General features: G+C 35.6%; 1 protein-coding gene across 4 annotated transcripts in view, besides 2 other annotated features; it reads left to right on the top strand.

Annotated features, from left to right (window-relative positions):
• Nucleotides 1-22,467, top strand: part of HIBADH (3-hydroxyisobutyrate dehydrogenase) — a 137,442-nt gene that overhangs the window by 81,072 nt on the left and 33,903 nt on the right. The gene's annotated exons all lie outside the window — the stretch shown is intronic.
• Nucleotides 13,118-13,305: a silencer, noted in NCBI's record as "fragment chr7:27608126-27608313 (GRCh37/hg19 assembly coordinates)". NCBI's record gives its function as "represses an EF-1alpha promoter that drives an FKBP-Casp9 reporter gene in an ReSE screen in K562 erythroleukemia cells {active_cell/tissue: K562}" and the evidence as "EXISTENCE:reporter gene assay evidence [ECO:0000049][PMID:32094911]".
• Nucleotides 16,275-17,027: an enhancer, noted in NCBI's record as "OCT4-NANOG hESC enhancer chr7:27604404-27605156 (GRCh37/hg19 assembly coordinates)". NCBI's record gives its function as "activates a minimal SCP1, AML or CMV promoter by ChIP-STARR-seq in primed H9 embryonic stem cells {active_cell/tissue: H9 hESC(primed)}" and the evidence as "EXISTENCE:reporter gene assay evidence [ECO:0000049][PMID:30033119]".

The following is a 22,467-nucleotide window of genomic DNA, read 5'->3' as shown; positions in this document are numbered from 1 at the left end:
TAAAATGAGAATGGAAAAATGATATTCTGTATGGTGGTCTTTAAGTGCTGAAGGATCCACAGAGTCTTCTGAACTTTGAAAGAAACTAAGTTTGGCCACTCCTGAGCAAAAGTAATCTAGAAAAAGCGATAAGTATATAAGGTGATGGATATGTTAATTAGCTTGATTTAATCATTGCACAATGTATACATTTATCGAAATATGTTGTATATCATAAATCTATAAAATTTTTATCAATTAAACCTTAATAAATTTGGAGGAGAAAAGGAAATCTACCTTCCATCCTTCCGTAAAAGGAATTGAATAATTCTAAAGGAAGGGAATTTCAAATTTTAGGAAGATAAGCAATTATAGTTGATGGCAGTACCTGTTGTAGATAAAACTGAAGCAGAATAATTAAACACCTGCTTCTTTATCTCTACCCTCTTCATGTCCTAGCTTCCTTCCCTACTGGTTTATATTCCACCGTACATGATTACACATCCTCAGCTTCCTCGTTCTTCCTTCCTCTATTGAATTTGACCCCACCCCTGGTCAAATCCAACTGTTCATTTGCTCTGCATTGGCCCTTGAGTAGCTGAACATGGTTGGAGTAAATGGATGACCATGTTGGTCTGGCTTGAATTTTAAATTAATGATCACTAATCCCAAGTTGGCCCTTAGGGCTGCTTGACAGTTCCCCTTCATTTCCTTAGTCCATTCATTCTTTTCCATCACCTAAACAATTATTTCACACCTTCTCTTGTCTCTATGCCTCTGGTATCCTCACGCAGTGTCAGCTGATGACCTTTCCTTTTTACTTTCACTGAGAATAGACACAGTCGTGAAAGAACTTCCACATGATCGCCTACCCCTTAACCTGCATGCATTTGTATGCATGTACTCTGCCTATCCTCCTGTTAGAATTGGCCAAGCAGCAGTGGTCTCTGAAGTCAGCCTTTCTACTTCTGCTTTGATCTCCACCTCTCTTACCTTCTTCCCCATTAAATCAATTTCTAGGAGTTGTTCCTTAATAGGTAGTTGAGATTGAGAACCACTCTGCTAGAATGTAAACTCCACAGACCAAAGATTTGTTCTCTTGCTCATTGCTGTATTCTCAATGCCTGTAACAATACATAATCCAATAGTAGGCACTCAGTCTTGTGTTTAATGGATAGATGAGTGAATGGATAAATGAACAAATGAATCTTTCTGGTAAAAAAGATATAAATTGCAGTACAAGCTCTGAAGAGCTTAATAAATAATCTTTCCTTGTGTTTTATGATCAAATTGGAGCTAAACTGTTCATCTTACAATGTTCATTTAAAGAGTTTTCTGCTGATTTACTGTAACTATCCTCACCTGAAAACTTTTCCTAGCATTTTTATGCACACAGTCCTAGTTATCTGGATTTTTGTTGTTGTTGTTGTTATTGGGAACTGAGATTTTTCTGATTTCTAAGTGGTTAAGCTTTGCTTTTCAAATGAATTTCTCTGGTGGCAGTTTCACAAGTGAATAGATCTGTACAAATCCAGAACTGTTCATTTTACTCATTACTGCTACTTGGAAGACCTGAGTTCAACTGCCTGCTCCATCACTTTTTCTCACTGAAGTGAATCTGGGCATGATTCTTGTATTGAGAAATGCCTAGTATAGTCTCAATATAATTGATTGCATTTCTTTCATTAAAATCAGGGGAAACATGTTTGTTTCCTTGACACCTGTGTTTCATGAAAAATCGTAGAAAACAGCCACATGTATTTTAATTTAGTTCTATATCTCTTTTCCCTTAATCCTAATTTGTAGAAGTGTGGCTGTTCAAACAGACTCTCATGTATTTTGAAATACATGCAGTGCGGTTTTTGTATGGGAGCAAGTACTATGGATTTTCTTGGGCTATAACTTAGTAGCATGGCAGTAGGTTATAGAACCAGTCCATGAATCCTGCAGTTCTTACTAATGTGAGTCAAATGGTATTATGGTAAAGATACCTCGCTGCTTTTTTGGTGGCTGTGTTTTTATTTGTAGGACAACCCTAAAATAGAACTCAGCTAGGTCATTTCTAAACGTAATGTTGTGGTGGATACCCCAGAACAAACACCATTAATGTGGTTAGTCATTTACTTGGAAAGCTATTGCCAGGGCAAACTCAGAGCCACTAGAGACAGAAAGCACATAAGTAAACCTGCTTGTTAAAGTGGAGATACAGAGTAACTCAGCAATGTAATAATACGAAGTAATGGTTAAGTATTCAGTTTATAGAAATTTGACTCAGATGTTTCAATAAAATATCTGTTTTTGTAAATCAAAAGATAACTACCTTCATTGGTATTTGGGACCAAAGTTTTTCCTCCTTCACTTTCTGCCCTTTTGGAAGACACAGTAAAAATAGAATTCATGAAACATTTCTAAATAATGGGTGTATAGAGATTCTCTTTATGTGTGGTATCAGTGCTCTGCTATGTAATTATTTGTTATATTTTAAATTTCAATTTATGTGTTCTCTCTTGCCCCCTTCAGCCCCGTGCCACATAATTTTTGTTTTTGGTGGAACCATTCAGCCTTAAATACTTTTAGTATATATCGTCTGAGAATAGGGACATAACTCCAAAACTACTATCACACCCAAGAAATTTGACTTTGATTCAGTGCCATCTAATATATAACCCATATTCAAATTTTCTCAGTTGTCCCCCAAATAACTGGATTTTCTAATTTTCTTTGATCCAGCATCTAATAAAAGTTCATATGTTACATTTAGTTGTTTTGTTTCTTCATCTTTCTTTAATCTAAAACAGTTCCCATGCCCTCCCTTTAAAAATAAAAATAATCTATCTTGACATTTCTGGAGTCTAGACCAGTTATTTTATGAAATGTTCCTCATTCTTGATTTGTCTGATTATTTTCTTACTGTTAATTTTAGGTTAAATCTTTCTGGTTACCATATAGAGTCTGATTATTTTTTAAGAAGTGTAGTATTCAGTTATAGAGAATCTTGACTTGTTCTGCCTGCTTGCACCTGCTTTTCTTAGAGTCCTAACCTCTCAACTCAGGTGCAAGGAAGCAGAGTTTGACTACTTTTGTGGGTACTGAAGACCTAGCTTATTGTAACAACAAAAAAAAATGTGGTTTTATTTTTAGTAAAAATCAGTGTCCAATATGCGCTCTAAATATAATCTGGTTATTTTTGAAATTTATGTTAAGAAGTAAGAATTTGGCTGGGCGCGGTGGCTCACATCTGTAATCCTGGCACTTCAGGAGGCCGAGACAGGCGGATTGCCTGAGTTCCGGAGTTTGAGACTAGCCTAGGCAACATGGTGAAACCCTGTCTCTACTAAAATACAAAAAAAATCAGCCAGGTGTGGTGGTGGGCGCCTGTAATCTCAGCTATCAGGAGTCTGAGGCATGAGAATTGCTTGAACCTGGGAGGCGGAGGTTGCAGTGAGCTGAGATCGTGCCACTGCACTCCAGCTTGCGCAACAAAGCGAAACTGTCTCAAAAAAAAAAAAAATCTAAACATTGAACTTTAGAACCAAAATGAAATCTTACTGTAACCCTAATGTACAATACTAAGAAAACAAATATTTTCATTGACATATTGAACTTATAAAATAATGTATCTTCAAAAAAAAGATTCTCTTAGTTTTAACAAATATTCATGCTTAAGTAATGTCTTCAGCTCCACATTTTCAGAACCCTATTAACTCTCACTTAGCAAAATTAGCATACTGAACTCTCTAAACTATTTAATGATTTGATTTATATATGTTCATTCTAATGAACAATGGATGCTAATAACAGTATTCTGTGAGGAGTAAGGTTTTTTTTGAGGTCAGCAGTGTTTAGATTAATCAGGTTGACATTTCTTGCTGGTGGGTCATGAACTGTTGATAATAGCATTAAATGGTGATTCAGTTGTTGCAGAAGGTACAACTCATTATCCAGCTACTATATTAAATCATTACAGAAACAATTGGCACTCCACACCCATGTGTTCTGCAGCAATGGTACATCAGGGAAGTATATTTGTTTCTTTTATTTACATCTCAAATTTTTTTGGAGGCTTACCTACATTCTTAAAGGATGCTACAGCATTGCCACTACTTTAGGGAACGAGGATGATTATCTTGACTGATTTGGGGGGATGAAGGGATATATAATCCTTTTAATAACACACCCAAAGTCTTCTCTTTATATTGCGAGCCTTTCTGAAACCTTGTTTTCATAATGAGTGTACCTGGGTTGCAAGTAATAAAAACAAATATATTTATGGATTTTTAAATTGGGTTTAAATTTAACATAAATTATTATTACAAGGATATGGGTCTTTTAAAAAGATTTGTATTCATTTTAAGAGAGAAATGATGCTTGGCCAGGCACAGTGGCTCATGCCGGTAATCCCAGCACTTTGGGAGGCCGAGGTCGGCAGATCACCTGAGGTCAGGAGTTCAAGACCAGCATGGCCAACATGGAGAAACCCCATCTCCACTAAAAATAAAAAATAAGTCAGGTGTGGTGGCGCATGCCTGTAATCCCAGCTACCTGGGAGGATGAGGTAGGAGAATTGCTTGAACCCGGGAGGCGGAGGTTGTGGTGAGCCGAAATCATGCCACTGCCCTTCAGCCTGGGCAACAAGAGCGAAACTCCATCTCAAAAAAAAAAAAAAGAGAGAAATGATGCTTGGAAAGTTCACAAATGTGCTGTAGAAGTAATTTCTTCCGAAAGGTCATTGTTATAGAAATCTCTTTAAGAAAAATTTAAGAGATGAGCTGGATTTGTTTTTTACAGTTGTTAATCTATTGCCTTTTAAGATAAACCTTAGTAATTTGGTATGCATTGAATCAGAAATTGTTGGTGTCTTTGAATTTTAAAATCAAGTATGTTTTCAGTGTGTCCCGTGTGTATAGGCAGTGAATAGATAGTAGCATGACAATTGTATTAATGTTGATTTCATTTCTTATTGGATAGTAAAGAATTAGTGAAGTCAGTTTCTAATTATTAATAAAATACCCCAAACACCCAGCCCCACGGTTTCACAAATAGGTGCTCGATCATAATTTGTTAATGAATGTGTGACACTTGGGTAGAAGCAGGAGAGCTTTTTGGCATTTTGTATTTGCCAGAATATACTTTAAGGAGCTAAGTATAGGAAAAAGGAATATTTCCCTTTATAATGAAAAGGAATATTAACATCTTCAAAGTAATTGCCTTATTTAGGGTAAATAGGTTCTTCAAATCTATGCTGACTCTTTAAGAGAAACAATATAGCATTGGAAAATTATGGGCCACTAGAGGTCACTGTTTAGTAATCAACTTTTAATGAACCAGAACAGTCAGGAGAGCCAATAAATTACAGTGTGGATTTTTCTAATTATGAATTCATATTTAATCATTCAATGACAAGTTAACTTTGGAAATGGTTTTGTGTACTTTGCATATGTGGTTATGCTAATGCACTATTATATTTCTCTGATGTTGGCCCTCCATCATTAGAATAGAACATTGCCAAAGGCTTTGTTATATAATCTTAATTACTAATTATGAGACATAATTAACCTTGTTACCGCCTCCACATCCACACAGTTTTTGGAAATAAAGTTTTACTCTAAATAACAATTACTTTTAAGTGAACATAGGTGTAATGGTTATGATCAGTTCCTCCTCCTCCCTCATGTCTTGTCTTCCTGCTTCATTCTTGGTTTCCGTTGCTCCCATCCCTTTCTCTGCTGTCTTATTTCTTTCCTTCCCTCCTTTGGATTCCTTTTCCACTTTATTTTGTCAGTGATTGAATGTTTCTTCTCAAGCTTTCCAGCCTTGATTCAATGAGTAGAAGAATGTGACTTTTACTGCATATGTTAAAGTAATCCTAGGGTGGGCAACTTGAGCTGAGCCAACCAGCAGTGCAAAGGAAGATTGTATGCATATAAGCAAGCATGCTGCTGCTGCTGTTGCTGCGAGCAGATGGCTGTCTTCAGGCTGTCCAGCCCAGAATCCATTCAGGAAAAAGCAGATTTCCGTACTTACATGATAAAAACTGTTTTCCTCCTTACAGGCTAGGCTAGTTGCTCAAGAGGAGGCCTCATGATCTTAGGGAAAAAACAACATGTGCACATGTGTTTCCTTTTTTTGAAAACAGCCCTGTGCATTATTTCTTAGAAAGCAGGCACATCACACCATTGCTCGGACTTCCTCTACTTCTTGCTGCTTTTACCATCCCTGCTGCTATGCCACTGCTATACAGTTATATCCACCTCACTGTTCTGAGATTTCAGTCTGCCCAAGATATACTTCTGATAAATTGTTCAGAAACTTTCTCTGGTTCCTGATGCTCACCCAGTCCAGCCCAGTCTTCCTTCTCAGCCTGCCATTCAAGGCTCTCCACACTCTGGATCCAACTTACTTTTCCATTCTTATTTTCTGCTACTTCTTTCCACATGCCTTAAATTCTAACCAAACTGGACTATTCACTAATTCTTAAATATTTACCTTATTTACTCAAGTCCCAATGTAGATGCCACCTCCTGTGATCTCTCCTTAGGTAAAAGTCACCCTCCCTGTGAAGCACCATGACAGGTTAGGGTCTCACCTACATTGTAATTACTGTATACCTATGTTCTCAGCTACACTGTAAGTCCAGAGATTCTTGACAAATAAATCAAGAGTGCTAAAATTTCCAATTAAAAAACCTATTTGGCAGAGTATCTGGCTTTCTAATTTTATTCTGGGAAAAGTAAAATAATTTTATAATGCTAAGGTTTGTAATATTAGGGAAGGTCATGGGATATCCTAGAACTCTCATCTACAAAAGATAAGATAAGCCTTTGTCCAATAAGTTGAGCTCTGTCTGAACACATAAGAATAGTAGTCAGCTTGCCCTTCTCGATTACCTGCTTTATAATATCACTGGGAATACAAACAGTTCTCTATTAAATCTCCTAAATGAGAGGAAAATGTATTTTATAATTTAAAATGGTATGTTCATTTTGTATGTACATAGCTCTATTTTGAAGAAATTGAGTTTTGTTAAAACAGTCTTTTGCTTATAACAGCTCCAGATTGCTTGTGTTTTGGTAAAAATAAGAGATGTGGAAGATACATGGATTTTGAACTTGAACTATATTTTGGGGGCTCTTTTCAAGTATTAGTTCCAGTGGCTGAGTACAGTATGTAAATTTCATTATTATTAGAGGGGGAGGTGTGCATAACCACTTTTTTTCTCTATTAGAGCAGCAATAATAAAGTTTTGCATGTCTGAACCTATCTATGTACTTAGTTATGACAGAAGCTAACTTGCAAGCTTGTTTGTTTACAAATAAAAAAGGTAAAGAGTTACCTGTTTGGAGTTTGGAATGTACTTTCCTTGGAAAAAATATTTTCTAATATATTTAGGTCCCTATTATTTTCAACCTCACATATATTGAGAATATCCCTAAATTATAACACAATTAGCATCATATTTCTGTGGGAAATGATTTCAGAGATTCTTCGTGGGATACCAGCCCCTCCTATCCTATCCTTTGAGGAAAAAAAAAATCACCTGCTATCTCTTCCTCCCCTTTTCTAAGCTGTGGGATCTGAAATTTTCTCTGGGGATTCACCTGCTTTTCCAAAATTCCAACTATCTAATTTCTAAAGAGATTTTCTAACTCTGTATTTCCATCACAGACTTTTCTGATTTCTGGATCTGCATTTTTATTTATTGGACTCCTTCAATCAAGCTCATTTTTGGAGTCAAACTTTTTCATTTCAGTAAAACCAGCTCTAGCTCTTGGTCCTCTATAGTATATTACAATTTCAGTTTTTCTAATCTTTTAGGTTCAAATTCTGAAAGTAGCACTGTCCAATAGAAATGTAATATAAGCCACATGTGTAATTTAAAATTTTTTAGTAGTCACATTAGAAAAGTAATAAGAAACACAGGTGAGGATAATTTCAGGAATACATTTTATTTAACCCAGTATATCAAAAACATAATTTCAACATGTAATCAATATAAAATTTATTCAGATACTTCACATTTTTTCATACTAAGTCTTTGAAATATGTGTGTTTTACACTTAAAGCACATCTGAATGTGAACTAGCTATATTTTAAGTTCTCAGCAGCCACATGTTGCTAGTAGCTACTCTGTGGGACAGGACACAGCCTTAGAGAGTCTGCCGCTACATTTTTCTCTTAGCCAGTGACATATTCTGGTTCTGCACTACCTGTCAAAGTTTGTTAAATACATGCAAGGAAATTTACAGAATTTTTCTCGTTCCTTTTTTCCTATACTTCTTCCACTCCTGTTTTTAGAATAATGCATATATCAGCCACTTTGTTAGAATAAGTCATGGTCTTTGCTCTCAAGAAGCTCATACTCTAGTCTAGTCTAGACGATGTCTAATCAGTGAGATGGGCATGGAAAAAGATACTGTGTTACAGTATGGATCGGTAATTGCCATAACAGAGATATAAAGAAGTTCCATGATAAGACGATGATGTAGTTAGGGTCATCCACATTTACCAGATCTGATTGCTAGGCAGTTGCTTTCCTGAAGAAGTAATCCATGTTTACCATGTATTATGGGGCTGGATGAGGACATTCCAAGAAGAGATAGTATTCAAAGTTGAGAATTAGAAAAGGGCATGGCATGTTTGAAGATTAAATGAGAGTCAGTGTATCTGGAGTTTTGTTTGTTCTAAATTCAGCTACTTACAATTTTCTGCACAAATTCCCTACTTTTTTCGCCTTTATGCGTTTGCTTTTGCAGATCACTTTACACAGAATTTCTTTCTCTGTCCCTAGTCGTTTCTTACCAGTATATATAATCTTAATCATCTTTCATGGCCCATATTGATCTGATCTTTTTAGTGAAGCTTCTTTTACTCTTCTGTTGTAGTTTTATGCCCCAAATGAATGTGATATTTCTCTTCTTGGAATTTTGAACATTTTAACTTTTGTATGACAATATTTTGTGTATTAAAGTTAATTTTATAATGCAGTAATAGTCTGGCTCACCAAATCAAATTCTTAATTTGAGCAAGAATTGCATATTAATTATTTTTGTATACCCTGAAGAGCTGAGAGTGGGTTCCTTGTATACAGAAGATATTCAGTAAATACTTGATTCGTGGATAATAAATATTTTTATGAGATATTTAAAACAAAAGCACAAAATTGAAGTGATCTAGAGATTTCAAGTACCTAATGTTTCTTGTAGATTACTTTCATGGAAAGTCTTCATTAACATGATTGACTGCTGTATGTAGTTGGATGAAATTTCTTGATTTCATTTGTAAAAATAGATGTCATAAAAGCAACATTCTGCTGTAATAATGAAGGTGCTAATGGTAAAGATGAAACCTGTTTTATTATGAGAAAACAGTTAAAAGTATCTTGGCATAAAAATACAATGGAAATCACTCTTTACTTTGACATTTAAGGACCTGTTTTGTTTCTTTACATAGCCATCTACTGCTTCTGGCAATATGGTAGACTAGGTATATTAAAATACCCTGCTGCTATAAAATACCGGTGGCTGGATAAATTACAATAAATGTACTTTTAAATGCACTTTACATTTCTCATTAGAGAATGGAGATCTTCAGTGACCAAATAATCGAGTAGTAATCTGAAATAAGAATAATAAATAAAGCCAGAAGCTCTGGCTGACCTGGAAGCAAATGCTGATTCCAGAAAACAGGGGCTCTGGACGTTAACATTTGTGAGTAAAACAATCATGGGGTAATGGAAACCTAGGCCCTATGCTCACACAAAGTGAGAAAGCCAACCCTTAGGCCCCAACAAAGCCAAATGCCCAAAGAGGCCATAACTTCTGGGAGAAAGGGTGTTCTATGGATCGTAAGCCTGCTAGTTAAAGAATCTAACTAGGAAATCTGTCTGTCTATGCTGGTTACAGGTTGAGAAATAAAGTATATTAGTTTCTCCTGAATCTTTACAATAGTAGCTCTGAATTTATGGGCATAGAGTTCAAATTTAAATTACTCATCCAATTGGGAAGATACTCAACCAATAATTAAATTTAAGACCTTAATTTGGTAGGGCTAGAACTTGTCATCCATAGAAGAATAAAAATTCTTTCTGGAGAAAATCATCCTTAATCCAGGAATCTTAGAACTCATAAATATCAAGTACAATAAATGTAAGCTCACAGTTAAAAAAAAATTACCAGACACAAAGGGAGACAGGTCACCAGACAAGCCAACAGAAACAAAAATATTCAATCTCTACGAACTGTAGATACTGATGTTTCCAAAACAGAGTATGAAATGACTATACATAAAACATTTAAAGAAATAAAAGATAGCCTGGAGCAGTGGCTCATGCCTGTAGTCCCAGCACTTTGGGTGGCTGAGGCAAGTGGATCACCTGAGGTCAGGAGTTTGAGACCAGCCTGACCAACATGGAGAAATCCTGTCTCTACTAAAAATACAAGAAAATTAGCCGGGCATGGTGGCACATGCCTGTAATCCCAGCTACTCGGGAGTCTGAGGCAGGAGAATCACTTGAACCTGGGAGGCAGAGGTTGCAGTAGACCAAGATCACACCATTGCACTCCAGCTTGGGCAACGAGAGCAAAACTCCGTCTCAAAAAAAAATAAAAATAAAAGATAGATTGAAAATGAATAAGGATCCAGAAAATGTCAGAAATGACCGAATTTAGAAAAATCATTGAAATTTAAAAATTAATAGATAAATGGTATATGGGAGCAGAAGAGAGAGAATTAGTAAATGAGATATCTAAAGAAATAACCCAAAGGTACTACAGAAAGAGTTGGAAATGGAAAATATGAAAGAAAAGTTGAGACATGAATAGAAAGCTAGAAAGAAAAAGTTATGCATGCATCTAATTGGAGTTCTAGATAGAATGGGAAGAGAGTGGTCAACATGATGATATCTGAGAATTTTTCAGAATTGACATAAACCCACAGAAACAGGAAGGACAATGTATATCAAATAGGAGTTTAAATTTTTTTAAAAAAGAAATCTTACTAAATACATGATAGTAAAACTACGCAGTACCAAATACAAACGTGTAAAGCAGCTGGGAAAAAAAGACACATTACCTATAAAAGAACAATACAGACTGATACCATACTTTCTTTTTACTCCCCCCACCGCCCCCAGCATTATTGAGGTATAATTTATATACAGTAAAATTTACCTGTTTGAAGTGTAGAGATTGATGAATTTGGACAACTATATATAGTCGTGTAACCGTCATCACGTTTAAGGCAGAGGGGAGTTTCTATCACTCCAGAAACTCCCCGCATGCTTTTTTGTAGTCAGTTCCTTCCTCAGCCCTAGGTAAACACTGATTTGCTTTCTGATACCATAGTTTTGCCTCTTCTAGAATATCGTGTAAAAATATCATGTAAATATCATGTACATATGCATGTAGAATTCATACAATAGGTAGCCTTTTGTGTTAATAGCAGACCTCCTAAGAACAACTGAAGCCAGAAAACAGTAGAACAATATCATCAAAATACAAGTAACTGTCACCTTAGAATTTGCATCCAACAGAACCAAGAATGATAGTAGGTTCCAGTTGTGGTTAAGATGAAGTAAATATACTGTCCTTTCTCTCCTACTGAATGTGTCTAAAAACCTTGGGCAGAGTGCCTGGAGAAGCTGTCTGAGGACTCTGAAAGGTAAATGATAGCAAATAGACTGGAGAAGGAAAATAGAACTTTTAAGTACAAAAGCTCTGGCAATGAGTTTCCTGGATCCTTTCCCCACTTTTTGTATCTCCCAGTCTGAATTCAAAGACAGCATGAATCCTAGGACTGTGCACAGGTGCAAACAACAAGAATTCCAAGGGAAATTTCTGATCCAAGGAGCAGGAAGAGAGGCTCTATGAGACAGAGAAAGTGGAAGAAATGCTCTGTCTTGTTTTTCTTCCCTCCCAGCTCTGCCATATGATCCTCTCTTCTGAACCTGCAGTTTTGTGGTGGCAGCAGCAGCCAACCAGACACTTAAAAATCCAAGGGAAGTGAATCCTCTCTGATCAGAGGAACTATGGTCCAAACAGTGTAGAATGATTCCTATTGCTTTTTTCTTTTTTTAATTCTCTTGCTGTTTGGCCCCAGAGACAGATCTAGTTGCAGGAAGTACAAGACTTTCTAGTCAGAGGACCGGGTGGCAGTGGGGGATGGAGGTGGGGTAGTAGAGTGTCAGAGAGTGGGGCCCTTCACAGATAAGAGGGAGCTCATAAAGGGACCGCATGATGTTATGTATGAACTTCTGGGCCCACCCTTGAGCCATACAACATAGATCTGACCCTAAACAGCATACCAAGTAGCTGTGGGATAGATAGCCCACCCAGATATCAGGCTGGCTCCTGGCTGATGCACATCTAGGACAGATTCAAATACATCCTGTTCTTCATAGAATTGGAGCAAGACCCAGAGTCTCATAGCATCTTATATCCCAAATGTTCATGATATGATACAAAATTACTTGACACAAAAAGAACCAGGAAAGTCTGATTAAGTCTCAAGGGAAGAGACAAGATACCAACCCTGAGATTACCCAGATGTTTTATATTAGGCAGTGATTTTAAAACAGCTGTTATAACCATGCTTTAAGAAATAATAATCTCAGTTAAGAAAAAGAAGCTATAAAAAAGAACCAAATGGAAATTTTATAACTGGAAAATACAATAATTAGAAATTTGAAGAAAATCACTGGATATGTTCAAAAGCAGAGTGCTTGTGACAAAGAAAAGAGTCAGTGGATTTGGAGACAGAAATTACATGAATGGAAATTATCTAATCAGACTAAAAGAAGAAGACTGTAAGAAAATGGACAGAGCCTTGGGATCCCCTGAGATAATACCAAGAAATATCTAACATTTGTGCCAGTGGAGTTTCATACAGAGATGAGTGTGGTACAAAAAAAAAAATTTGGAAAAAAAAAAAGGTGGCTGAAAGCTTCCCAAGTTTAGTGAAAGACAAACTTAGAGGTTTAAGAAGCTCAGTGAGCCCCAAATACAATAAAGAAATCTATGCCCAGATTATCATAAACTACTAAAAACCAGACACATAGAAAAAATGTTGGCTGGGTGCTGGCTCACGCCTGTAATCCCAGCACTTTGGGAGACTAAAGTGGGTGGATCACTTGAAGTCAGGAGTTTGAGACCAGCCTGGCCAACGTGGTGAAACCCTGTCACTATTAAAATACAAAAAAATTTAAAAAAAAATTAGCTGGGCCTGGTGGCAGTCACCTGTAATCCCACCTACTTGGGAGGCCGAGGCATGAGAATTGGCTAAACCCTGGAGGCGAAGGTTGCAGTGAGCTGAGATCATACCACTGTACTCCAACCAGGGTGACAGAGAGAGACTCTCTGTCTCAAAAAAATAAAAGGCTATTTAAAGAAATAAAATTGTTTGAGATCAGCTAGAAAAAAAAATGATGCATTACAGGGGAACAATGATTGCAACAACTTCAGAAAAAAACATGTAGGCCAAAAGGCCAGTGGAATAACATTTTTGAAGCACTGAAACCAGAATTTTATATGTGACAAAAATATGCTTCAGGAATGAAGATGAAATAGAGATATTCACAGGTAAAGGAAAACTCAGAAAAATTATCTCCAGTTGATCTGCTTTACCAAAAAAAGGATAAAGGAACTTCTTCAGGTAAAAGGAAACTGATACCAGAGAGAACTATAGAACTGCAGGAAAGAAGAGAAACAGAAATTGTAAGCATTTGGATAAATACAGTATTTTTTCTACTTTTAAGTTCTTAAAAATATGTGTGATGGTTGTGATTAAAAATTACCAATGCCCCTTGACTTACAGTGGGATTACATCCCAGTAACTCCTGCATAAGTTGAAAATATTGTAAGTTGAATGTGCATTTTCAACTTAGGATGGGTTTATCTAGATGTAGCCCCATGGAAAATCAAGGAGTGTACTGAATGCATATGGCTTTTGTACCAATGTAAAGTCAAAAAAAATCGTAAGGCAAACTAAGTCGAAGGCCATCTGTAAAACATTGGTGGAATTTTCTATATATGTAAATGTAATACAGATGACAACTATAATATTAAAGGCAGTAATAGTAAATTTTCTACATTTCACTTGATGTGGTAAAATATTAATTTTCAATGGACATGAAAACTTTAGTATGTATATTGTAATCCCTAGGTCAGTCACACACGTGTGCACGCACGCACACACACACCCTATACAAAGATGCAATAGATAAAATGGAATATCAAAGAAATATTCAAATACTGTAATGCAGAAGAAGGTGGGAAAGGAGAAAGAGAGGAACTAAAAACATAGTGGACAAGCAGAAAATAAACTAGTAGACTTAAATCCAAACCTATCAATACTAACATTAAATGTAAATGACCTAAATACACCAACTAAAAGGCACGATATTATCAGATTGGATTTAAAAAAGAGACCAAAATGTGTTTACAAGCAATCCACTTTAAATATAATGATGTAGGTAGATTAAAAGTATAGAAAAAGATATACCATGTAAATACTAGTCAAAACAAAGAGCAAGGAAAATTACCAAAGGTATAGAAGGACATTACATAATGATAAGAGTCAATTCACCAAGAAGACACTAACAGTCCTAAATTTGTAGGTACCTAATAATAGAGCTTCAAAATACATGAAATAAAAACTAGCAGAATGAAAAGGAGAAATGAACAAATCCACAATTATTATTGGAGACTTCAACACTTCTCTCTCAGTAATGGATATGACAAGTAGACAGAAAAATCAACAACAATATAAAAGAATTGAGCAACATCGTCAATCAAATGAACCTAATTGACATGTATAGAACACTCTATGCAGCAACAGCAGAAAACACATGCTACTTCAGTGCACATTTACCAAGATGGATGGTATCCTGGATCAAAACCACCCTTAACAATTTGAAAAGAACTAGAATTAAACAAAATGTATTCTTTAATCATAAAGATTTAAACTAGAAACCAGTAACATATATATGGAGATTTACTCCTCAAATATTTGGAAATTGAATAACACATTCCTAAGTAATCTATGGGTCAAAGAGGAAATGTCAAGGGATATTAGAAAATATTTTGAACTGAACAAAAATATAAATACAACATATTTGTAGGATGCTCCTAAAGCAGTGCTTGGAAGGAAATTTATAAAATTAAATGCTTGTATTAGAAAAGGAGTCTCATATCAGTAATTTAAGTTCTATTGTGAGAAACTAGAAAAAGAAAAGTAAAATAAAACCAAAGCAAATAGAATAAAGGAAATAATAAAGAACAAATTAATGAAATTGGAAACAGAAAAACATTAAAGAAAATCAATAAAACCCAAGGCTGCTACTTTTGAAAAGCCAGCCTAACCAAAAAATAAGACACAAATTACCAGTGTCAGGAATGGAGCACTGTAAGGAACTCAATTGACATAAATTTTGCAGTGTAAATGAAATGGACCATTTTTTTTTTGAGAGCCACAAACTACTAAAAATTATTTAAAAAGAAATTAAAGAATGAATTTGTAGTTAAAAACTTTCTGAAAAAGAAAAACAGAAGCCTAGATGTTTTTTTGTGATGAATTCTACCACATTTCTTCTTATTTAAAGAAATAGCAGTTCTACACAATTTCTTCTAGAAAACTGGAAGAGTATGCAGTATTTCCCAACTCATTTTTTGAGACCAGTGTTACACTGATACTAAAACCAGATAAACTATAAGACTAGTACAGATTAGTATTCTTTATACTGTACACATAAAAATTCTGATCAACATATTAAGAAATTGAATCAGCAATACATAAAAAGAACAATACAGCCATGTGGGATTTATCTTAGAATGCAAATCTTGTTCAACTGAAATCAGTCTTTGTAATATTAATAGTCTAAAGAAGACTTGATGCTAATATCCATATGTATATATATGTATACAGAATATAATGTATGTATGACATATAGATGACATATATCTGTATGTCAGAATTCAACATCCATTCATGATAAAAGCTCTCAGCAAACTAGGAATAGAAGGGAACTTCCTAAAACTGATAAAGGCATGTACTAAAACAAAAACAACCTATAGCTAACGTTATACTTTGTAGTGAAAGACTAAATGCTTTCCCCCTGAGATCAGACAACACAGGATATCTACTCTCACTGCTTAGTCTCTCACTAGAAATCTTAGCCAGTACAATAAAGTAAGAAAAATAAAAAGAAATAAAACTATTCATATTCACAAATGACATGATTGTCCATGTAGAAAAGTTCAAGGAGTCTACAAGTAAATGCTTATAAACAGTAAATGAGTTTCCTAAGGTCATAGAACACAAGGTCAACATACAGAAATTCATCATATTTCTCTATACTAGCAATCAACATTGGTGTTTTAAGATATAGAGTTTATTATTAAGCAGGTATAGTGAGGCCAACAGATCAGGACACCACTACCATTGAGAAGATAGTTTATTACTTACAGTTCCCAAGAGGAGGGGCCGTGTCACACCACACAAGGCCATATGGGGATGCATCAGGGTCGATCAGGAGGCAGAAGGAACAGAAGGAAAACGTGGGCAAGAGCCTTTGTTGTGGTTTCCACATGAAAGAATGGATGAGGCAGGGTAAGCAGGCTTAGGCTTGGCTAGTTTGAATAATTTCAGCAGTTTTGGGGTGTAGGGGCTATCTCTAAGTGTCTGGTACTTGGCCCTGGGGTGATTAGAGCAGAGAAATAGTGGCTTGGAGCATAAGAGCTCTATAATGCAGGTAGTTGGGGATGTGAGCTTTAGATTGGTTGGTTTGCATATGAAAGGCACGCTTAAAGGTTAGTCTTTTACTCTCTCTAGGAATTGATTAGCCCTGGGAGGGGTAGTCTCTCCAGGATCAGCAAGGGCCCAGATTTCAAAACATCAGAAATAAATTAAAAGGCATAATTAATGCAATTGGTAACTGACATTTAAAACATTATTATTTACATTTGTTTCAAAAACTAAATTACTTGCTATAAATCTAAATGTGCAGAACATGTGAAAACTACAAAAGTTGATGAAAGAAGTTAAAGAAGACCTAAATAAATGAAGTGTACTGTGTTCATGGATTGATGGATTTGAAGACTCTGTGTAGTAAAGATGTCAATTTCCCCCAATTTAGCACTATTACTTTTTATTGCATCTATAGAGAAATTGACATTAATTTTATATGGAAAAACAAAATAACTAAAATAACCAAAGCAATTTTGAATGTGATTAATAAAGTTGGAGAAGTCACATTACTCAATTTTCATACTTACTTCAAAGCTATACTAATAAAATGTGGTATTAGTGAAAGACATAGAGATCAGTGAAACAGAAGAGAGTTTAAAATAAGACTCGTGAATGTTTTTGTTTTTTGACAAATGTGCAAAGGCAATTCAGGGAGAAGGGATGGTCTTTTCGACAAATGATAAACAATTCTACATATATTAAGAAAAAAAGGTTGTTGATCTATAGCTCACATCTTATATAAAAAATAACTCAAAATGAGCTAAATGTAAAACTTACAGAAGAAAATATATGAGAAAATCCTTCTGGCCTTGGGTTTGGAAAAAATTCTGTGATATGGCACCCAAAGCATAATTCATAAAAAATAATTGATAAATTGTACTTTATGAAAATTAACGGCCAGGCACGGTGGCTCACGCCTGTAATCCCAGCACTTTGGGAGGCTGAGGCGGGCAGATCACAAGGTCAGGAGATCAAGACCATCCTGGCTAACATGGTGAAACCCCATCTCTACTAAAAATACAAAAAATTAGCTGGGTGTGGTGGCAGGTGCCTGTAGTCTCAGCTACTTGGGAGGCTGAGGCAGGAGAATGGCGTGAATCCGGGAGGCAGAGCTTACAGTGAGCCGAGATCGTGCCACTGCACTCCAGCCTGGGCGACAGAGCCAGACTCCATCTCAAAAAAAAAAAAAAAAGAAAATTAACAAACTTCTCCTCTGCTAAAACACTGTTAAGAGGCTGAAAAGACAAGCTGCAGCCTAAGAGAAATGTTGCAAACTACATGTTCAACCAAAGCCATGTAGCCAGAATGTATAAACATTTCTCAAAAGTCAACAATAAAACAACCAACTCAATTAGAAAATGAGCAAAAGATTTCAACAGACATGTCACCAAAGAAAATACATGGTTGGCAAATAAGCACATGAAAAGATGCTTGACATCATTACCATTAACAAAATTCAAACTAAAACCACAGTGAAATACCAGTACACATCATTTATAGAATGGCTACAGCAACTTTTAAAATACAACAGTTTAAGTGCTGATGAGAATATGGAGCAACTGGAATGCTCATATTCCTAGTGGAGATGCAAAATAGCACAACCACTTTGGAAAACAATTTGGAAGCTTTTCATAAAGTTAAACATACACTTATCTAAGTTTCCAGCAATCCTACCTCTCGGTAAACCTTCATGCTAGCCTGGATAAATGAAAACTTGTGTACACACAAAAACCTGTACCTGAATTCATGATCCACTAAAACTGAAAACGACTTAAAAATCCTTCAATGGGTGAATGGATAAACAAACCGTGTAACCTCCATACAGGGAATATTACTCAGCAATATAAAGGGATATGCTGCTGATACCCACAATAACAGGTAACCCAAAGGCATTGTATGAGTGAAAGAAGTCAGTGTGAAAGGTTATATTCTATGATTATGTTCATATAACATCCTGGAAAGGCAAAACCGTGGGAATGAACAACAGATAGTAGGATCAGGAGTTGGAGAAGGCAAGAGGGTTTGACCACAAAGGGGTAGCATGAGAGAACTTCTGGGGGTGAGAGAATTATTTCGTATCCTCACTGATGATGGTGGTTGAATGAATGTATACTTGCTAAAACTTGTAGAACTTTACACACACATAAAATTTAATTTTACAGCATGATAATTTCAAAATAAAAAAAGGAATGATGATTAAACATAGACATTTTCAGTAAACAAAGACTGATAAAATTTAACACCAAGAGATGTACATTAAAAGAACATCTAAAGGTTATCCTTTGATCCTAAAGGATCCTAAAGGGAAGTCTGAGATATGAAAAGAAATGGCAAAGGCTGAGTGTGGTGGCTCATACCCATAATCTCAGCACTTTGGTAGGCCAAGACAGGACGATCACTTGATCCCGGAAGTTTGAGACCACCCTGGGCAACATAGCTAAGCATTGGTGGCTTGTGCCTGTGGTCCCAGCTACTCAGGAGGCTGAGGTAGGAGGATCACTTGAACCAGGGAGGTTGAGACTGCAGTAAGTCATGATTGCACCACTGCACATCAGTGTGGGCAACAGAGCAAGATCCTGTCTCAATTTTAAAGAGAGAAATGATAAACAAGAAATGTAAACACAGAATTTGAATTTAAATGGTCTATAAGATTGGGTAATTTAAATTATTTGGATAAATCTGAAAATATCTAAATAAAAATAAAATATAAATTGTGGAATTAAAGAACTAAAATACTGAACAGAAGTAATGTGTGAGCAAGGAATGTCTAAAGGTCTTCTGTTCTATGAAAGATAGATCAAGATTTGATTAACTTTTCAGTTTAACTTCAAGTATGCATGGTGAAATTTTGAAAACAATAAAAATAAAGTATATTATTTCCAAACCAGTAAAGGAAAAAAGAAAACAGAAACAACTCCTGAATCAATTTAAAAAACAAGAAAGGAGGGGAAATAAAAATCACATAGAGGAAAAGCACAAAGTAAAATAGTAGGAAAAAATGGATTAAATGTACCCAATTAAAGACAGATTTTTATCATGTTGGATTTTTGAAAACTCCTGCTGAATCTTATTTATAAGACACACACCCCTAAAACATAAAGACTCAGAAAATATAAGTATCTTTTTCTTACATACCATGCAAATTCCAATCAAAAGAAATATGGATTTACTAATATCTAATAAATGGGTTAATTAATTAAATGTAACAGTTCTTAAGATTAAAAAGCACTGTTAGGGATAAAGAGGATCATTACTAATTAAAAGGCTTAAAAAGATATGACAATGTAAACGTGTATGTATTGTACCTAATAACCTCAGAAATGTATAAAGCAAAAAATTGTAGAACCACAAGAAGAAATTTATAAATGTCTACTGTCACAGTGGGACCTTTCAGTATACTTCTCTCAGTTGATGATCAAACAACAAAAATATTGGTAAATATATAGACTTGAATAAATTTGATCAGGTGGACACATGTAGAACCTCATATCCAGCAATTGAAGAAATGTATTTCTCAAGACACATCAAAAAATTATTAATAATTGACCACACAATAGGCCATGAAGCAAGTCTCCAGCATCAATGAATCTGTATCTTATAGACTGCATTCTTTGACTACATTGTTGACTACAATGCAATGTAATTAGTAGTAAAAATACAATTAAAACCTATACATTTAAAATTTAGAATCACATTTCTAAAGAATTTATTTTTTTTAGTCAAATAAGTCATATAAGAAAAAATGTTAGAACTCAACAGTAATGAAAATCCTGTATATTAAACTGGGATGCAGCTGCAGCAGGACTTTTAAGAAACTGAGAATGCAAGTTTTGAGTGGAATTTGAAAATATAAGGGGCAAGGTGAGTATTAGAAAACTTAAATTTTTTCCAATATAAAGTACACAGTGAAAACTAAAATGAACTCAACAAGAAGTGAATAACCCAGTTTAAAAATGGACAAAGGATTTGAACAGACATTTCCCCAAAGAAGATACACAGATGACTAATAAGCACATGAAAATATGCTCTACATCACTAACCATTAGGGAAGGGCAAATCAAAACCACAAAGAGATTACACTGAACACTCATGAGAATGGCTACTATTAAAACAACAAATAGAAAACAAGTGGTGTTGAGGATGTGGAGAAATTAGAACCCTTTTGCACTGTTGGTAGGAATGTAAAATAGTGCAACCACTGTGGAAAATGATATTGGTGGTTCTGCAAAAAATTAAACATGTAATTACCATATGATCCAGCAATTTTACTTCTGGGTATATGCCCAAAGAATTGAAAGCACATATGTTCATAGCAGCAGTACTCATAGTAACCAAAAGGTGGAAACAACCCAAATGTCCATCAGTGGATAAATGGACAAACAAAATGTGGTATATGCACGTAATGGAATGTTATTGAGACAGTATTCTCAAGGTTAAAGAACAAAATGCAGCTCTTTGCTCTTTTTAAGAAATACCTGAAACAAAATTATATTAAAGGCTAACAATAAAAGAAGAAACAACGATATATTTATTTTGGGTACAATATACACTACTCAGGTGACAGGTGCTCTAAAATCTCAGACTTCACCACTATACAATTCATCCATGTAACCAAAAACCATTTGTACCCCAAAAGTTAATGAAATAAAAAATATTTAAAATAAATGAATAAAAGGCTGAGTGCAGTGGCTCACACCCGTAATCCCAGCACCATGGGAAGCAGAGACAGGTGGATCACTTGAGGCCAGGAGTTCAAGACCAGCCTGGCCAACATGGCGAAACCCCGTCTCTACTAAAAATACAAAAAATTAGGCGTGGTGGTGCACGCCTGTAATCCCTGCTACTTGGAAGGTTGAGACAGGAGAATCGCTTGAACCTAGGCAGTGAAGGTTGCAGTGAGCTGAGATCTCACCACTGCACTCCAGCCTGGGCAACAGAGCAAGACTCTGTTATCAAAATAATAATAATAGAAATGTAAACAAGATTTGATGGCAACATCATATTACAGAAACTAAAACTTAGGGCAGAATTTGTGATGAACAGGGATGTCTTATAGTGGAACAAAACTGCACAACTTGTGAAGAGGAAACAAAATTATGCACTTTTATGCATACAGCATTATTATATATCAGTGAATACATAAAGGCAAAATCTTTAGAAATTTACGAGTTTGATTTAAAACTACAGTTATATTGGACATTTATAATAGTTCTCTCAGCATTTGACAGATCAAAATGACAACACATATAAAAGTAATTAACAGTGATGCTTAGTTTAATAGAATACTACAAATAGAGAATATACTTTCTTATCACATTTCCATGGGGAGAACTGGCCACAGATAAAACGTTTAAAGATTCAGAAATAGAAAATCCTGTCATATTCCCTAATCACAAGGGCATATATAGTTTTTGTGATTCCCTACTCATAGGGTTTTTTTGTTATTGTTGTTTTTTGAGACAGAGTCTTGCTCTGTCACCTAGGCTGGGCTGCTCTGCAGTGGAGTGATCATACCTCACTGCAGCCTCAACCTCCTGGGCTCAAGTGATGCTTCTGCTTCAGCCTCCTAAGAAGCTGGGACTGTAGGTTTGGGCCACCACACCTGGCTAATTTTCTTTATTTTTTAAATTTTTTCTAGAGATGAGATCTTGCTTTTTTGCTTAAGCTGGTCTCGAACTCCTGGCCTCAAGCAATCCCCCTGCCTTGGTCTCATAAAATGCTGACATTATAGGCATGAGCCACTGTGCC

The sequence above is a fragment of the Homo sapiens genome, chromosome 7, assembly GCF_000001405.40.
Source record: "Homo sapiens chromosome 7, GRCh38.p14 Primary Assembly".
Lineage (NCBI taxonomy): Eukaryota > Metazoa > Chordata > Mammalia > Primates > Hominidae > Homo > Homo sapiens.
The sequence above is the reverse complement of the archived record's forward strand: the minus strand, read 5'-3'. Positions and strand labels throughout refer to the sequence as shown.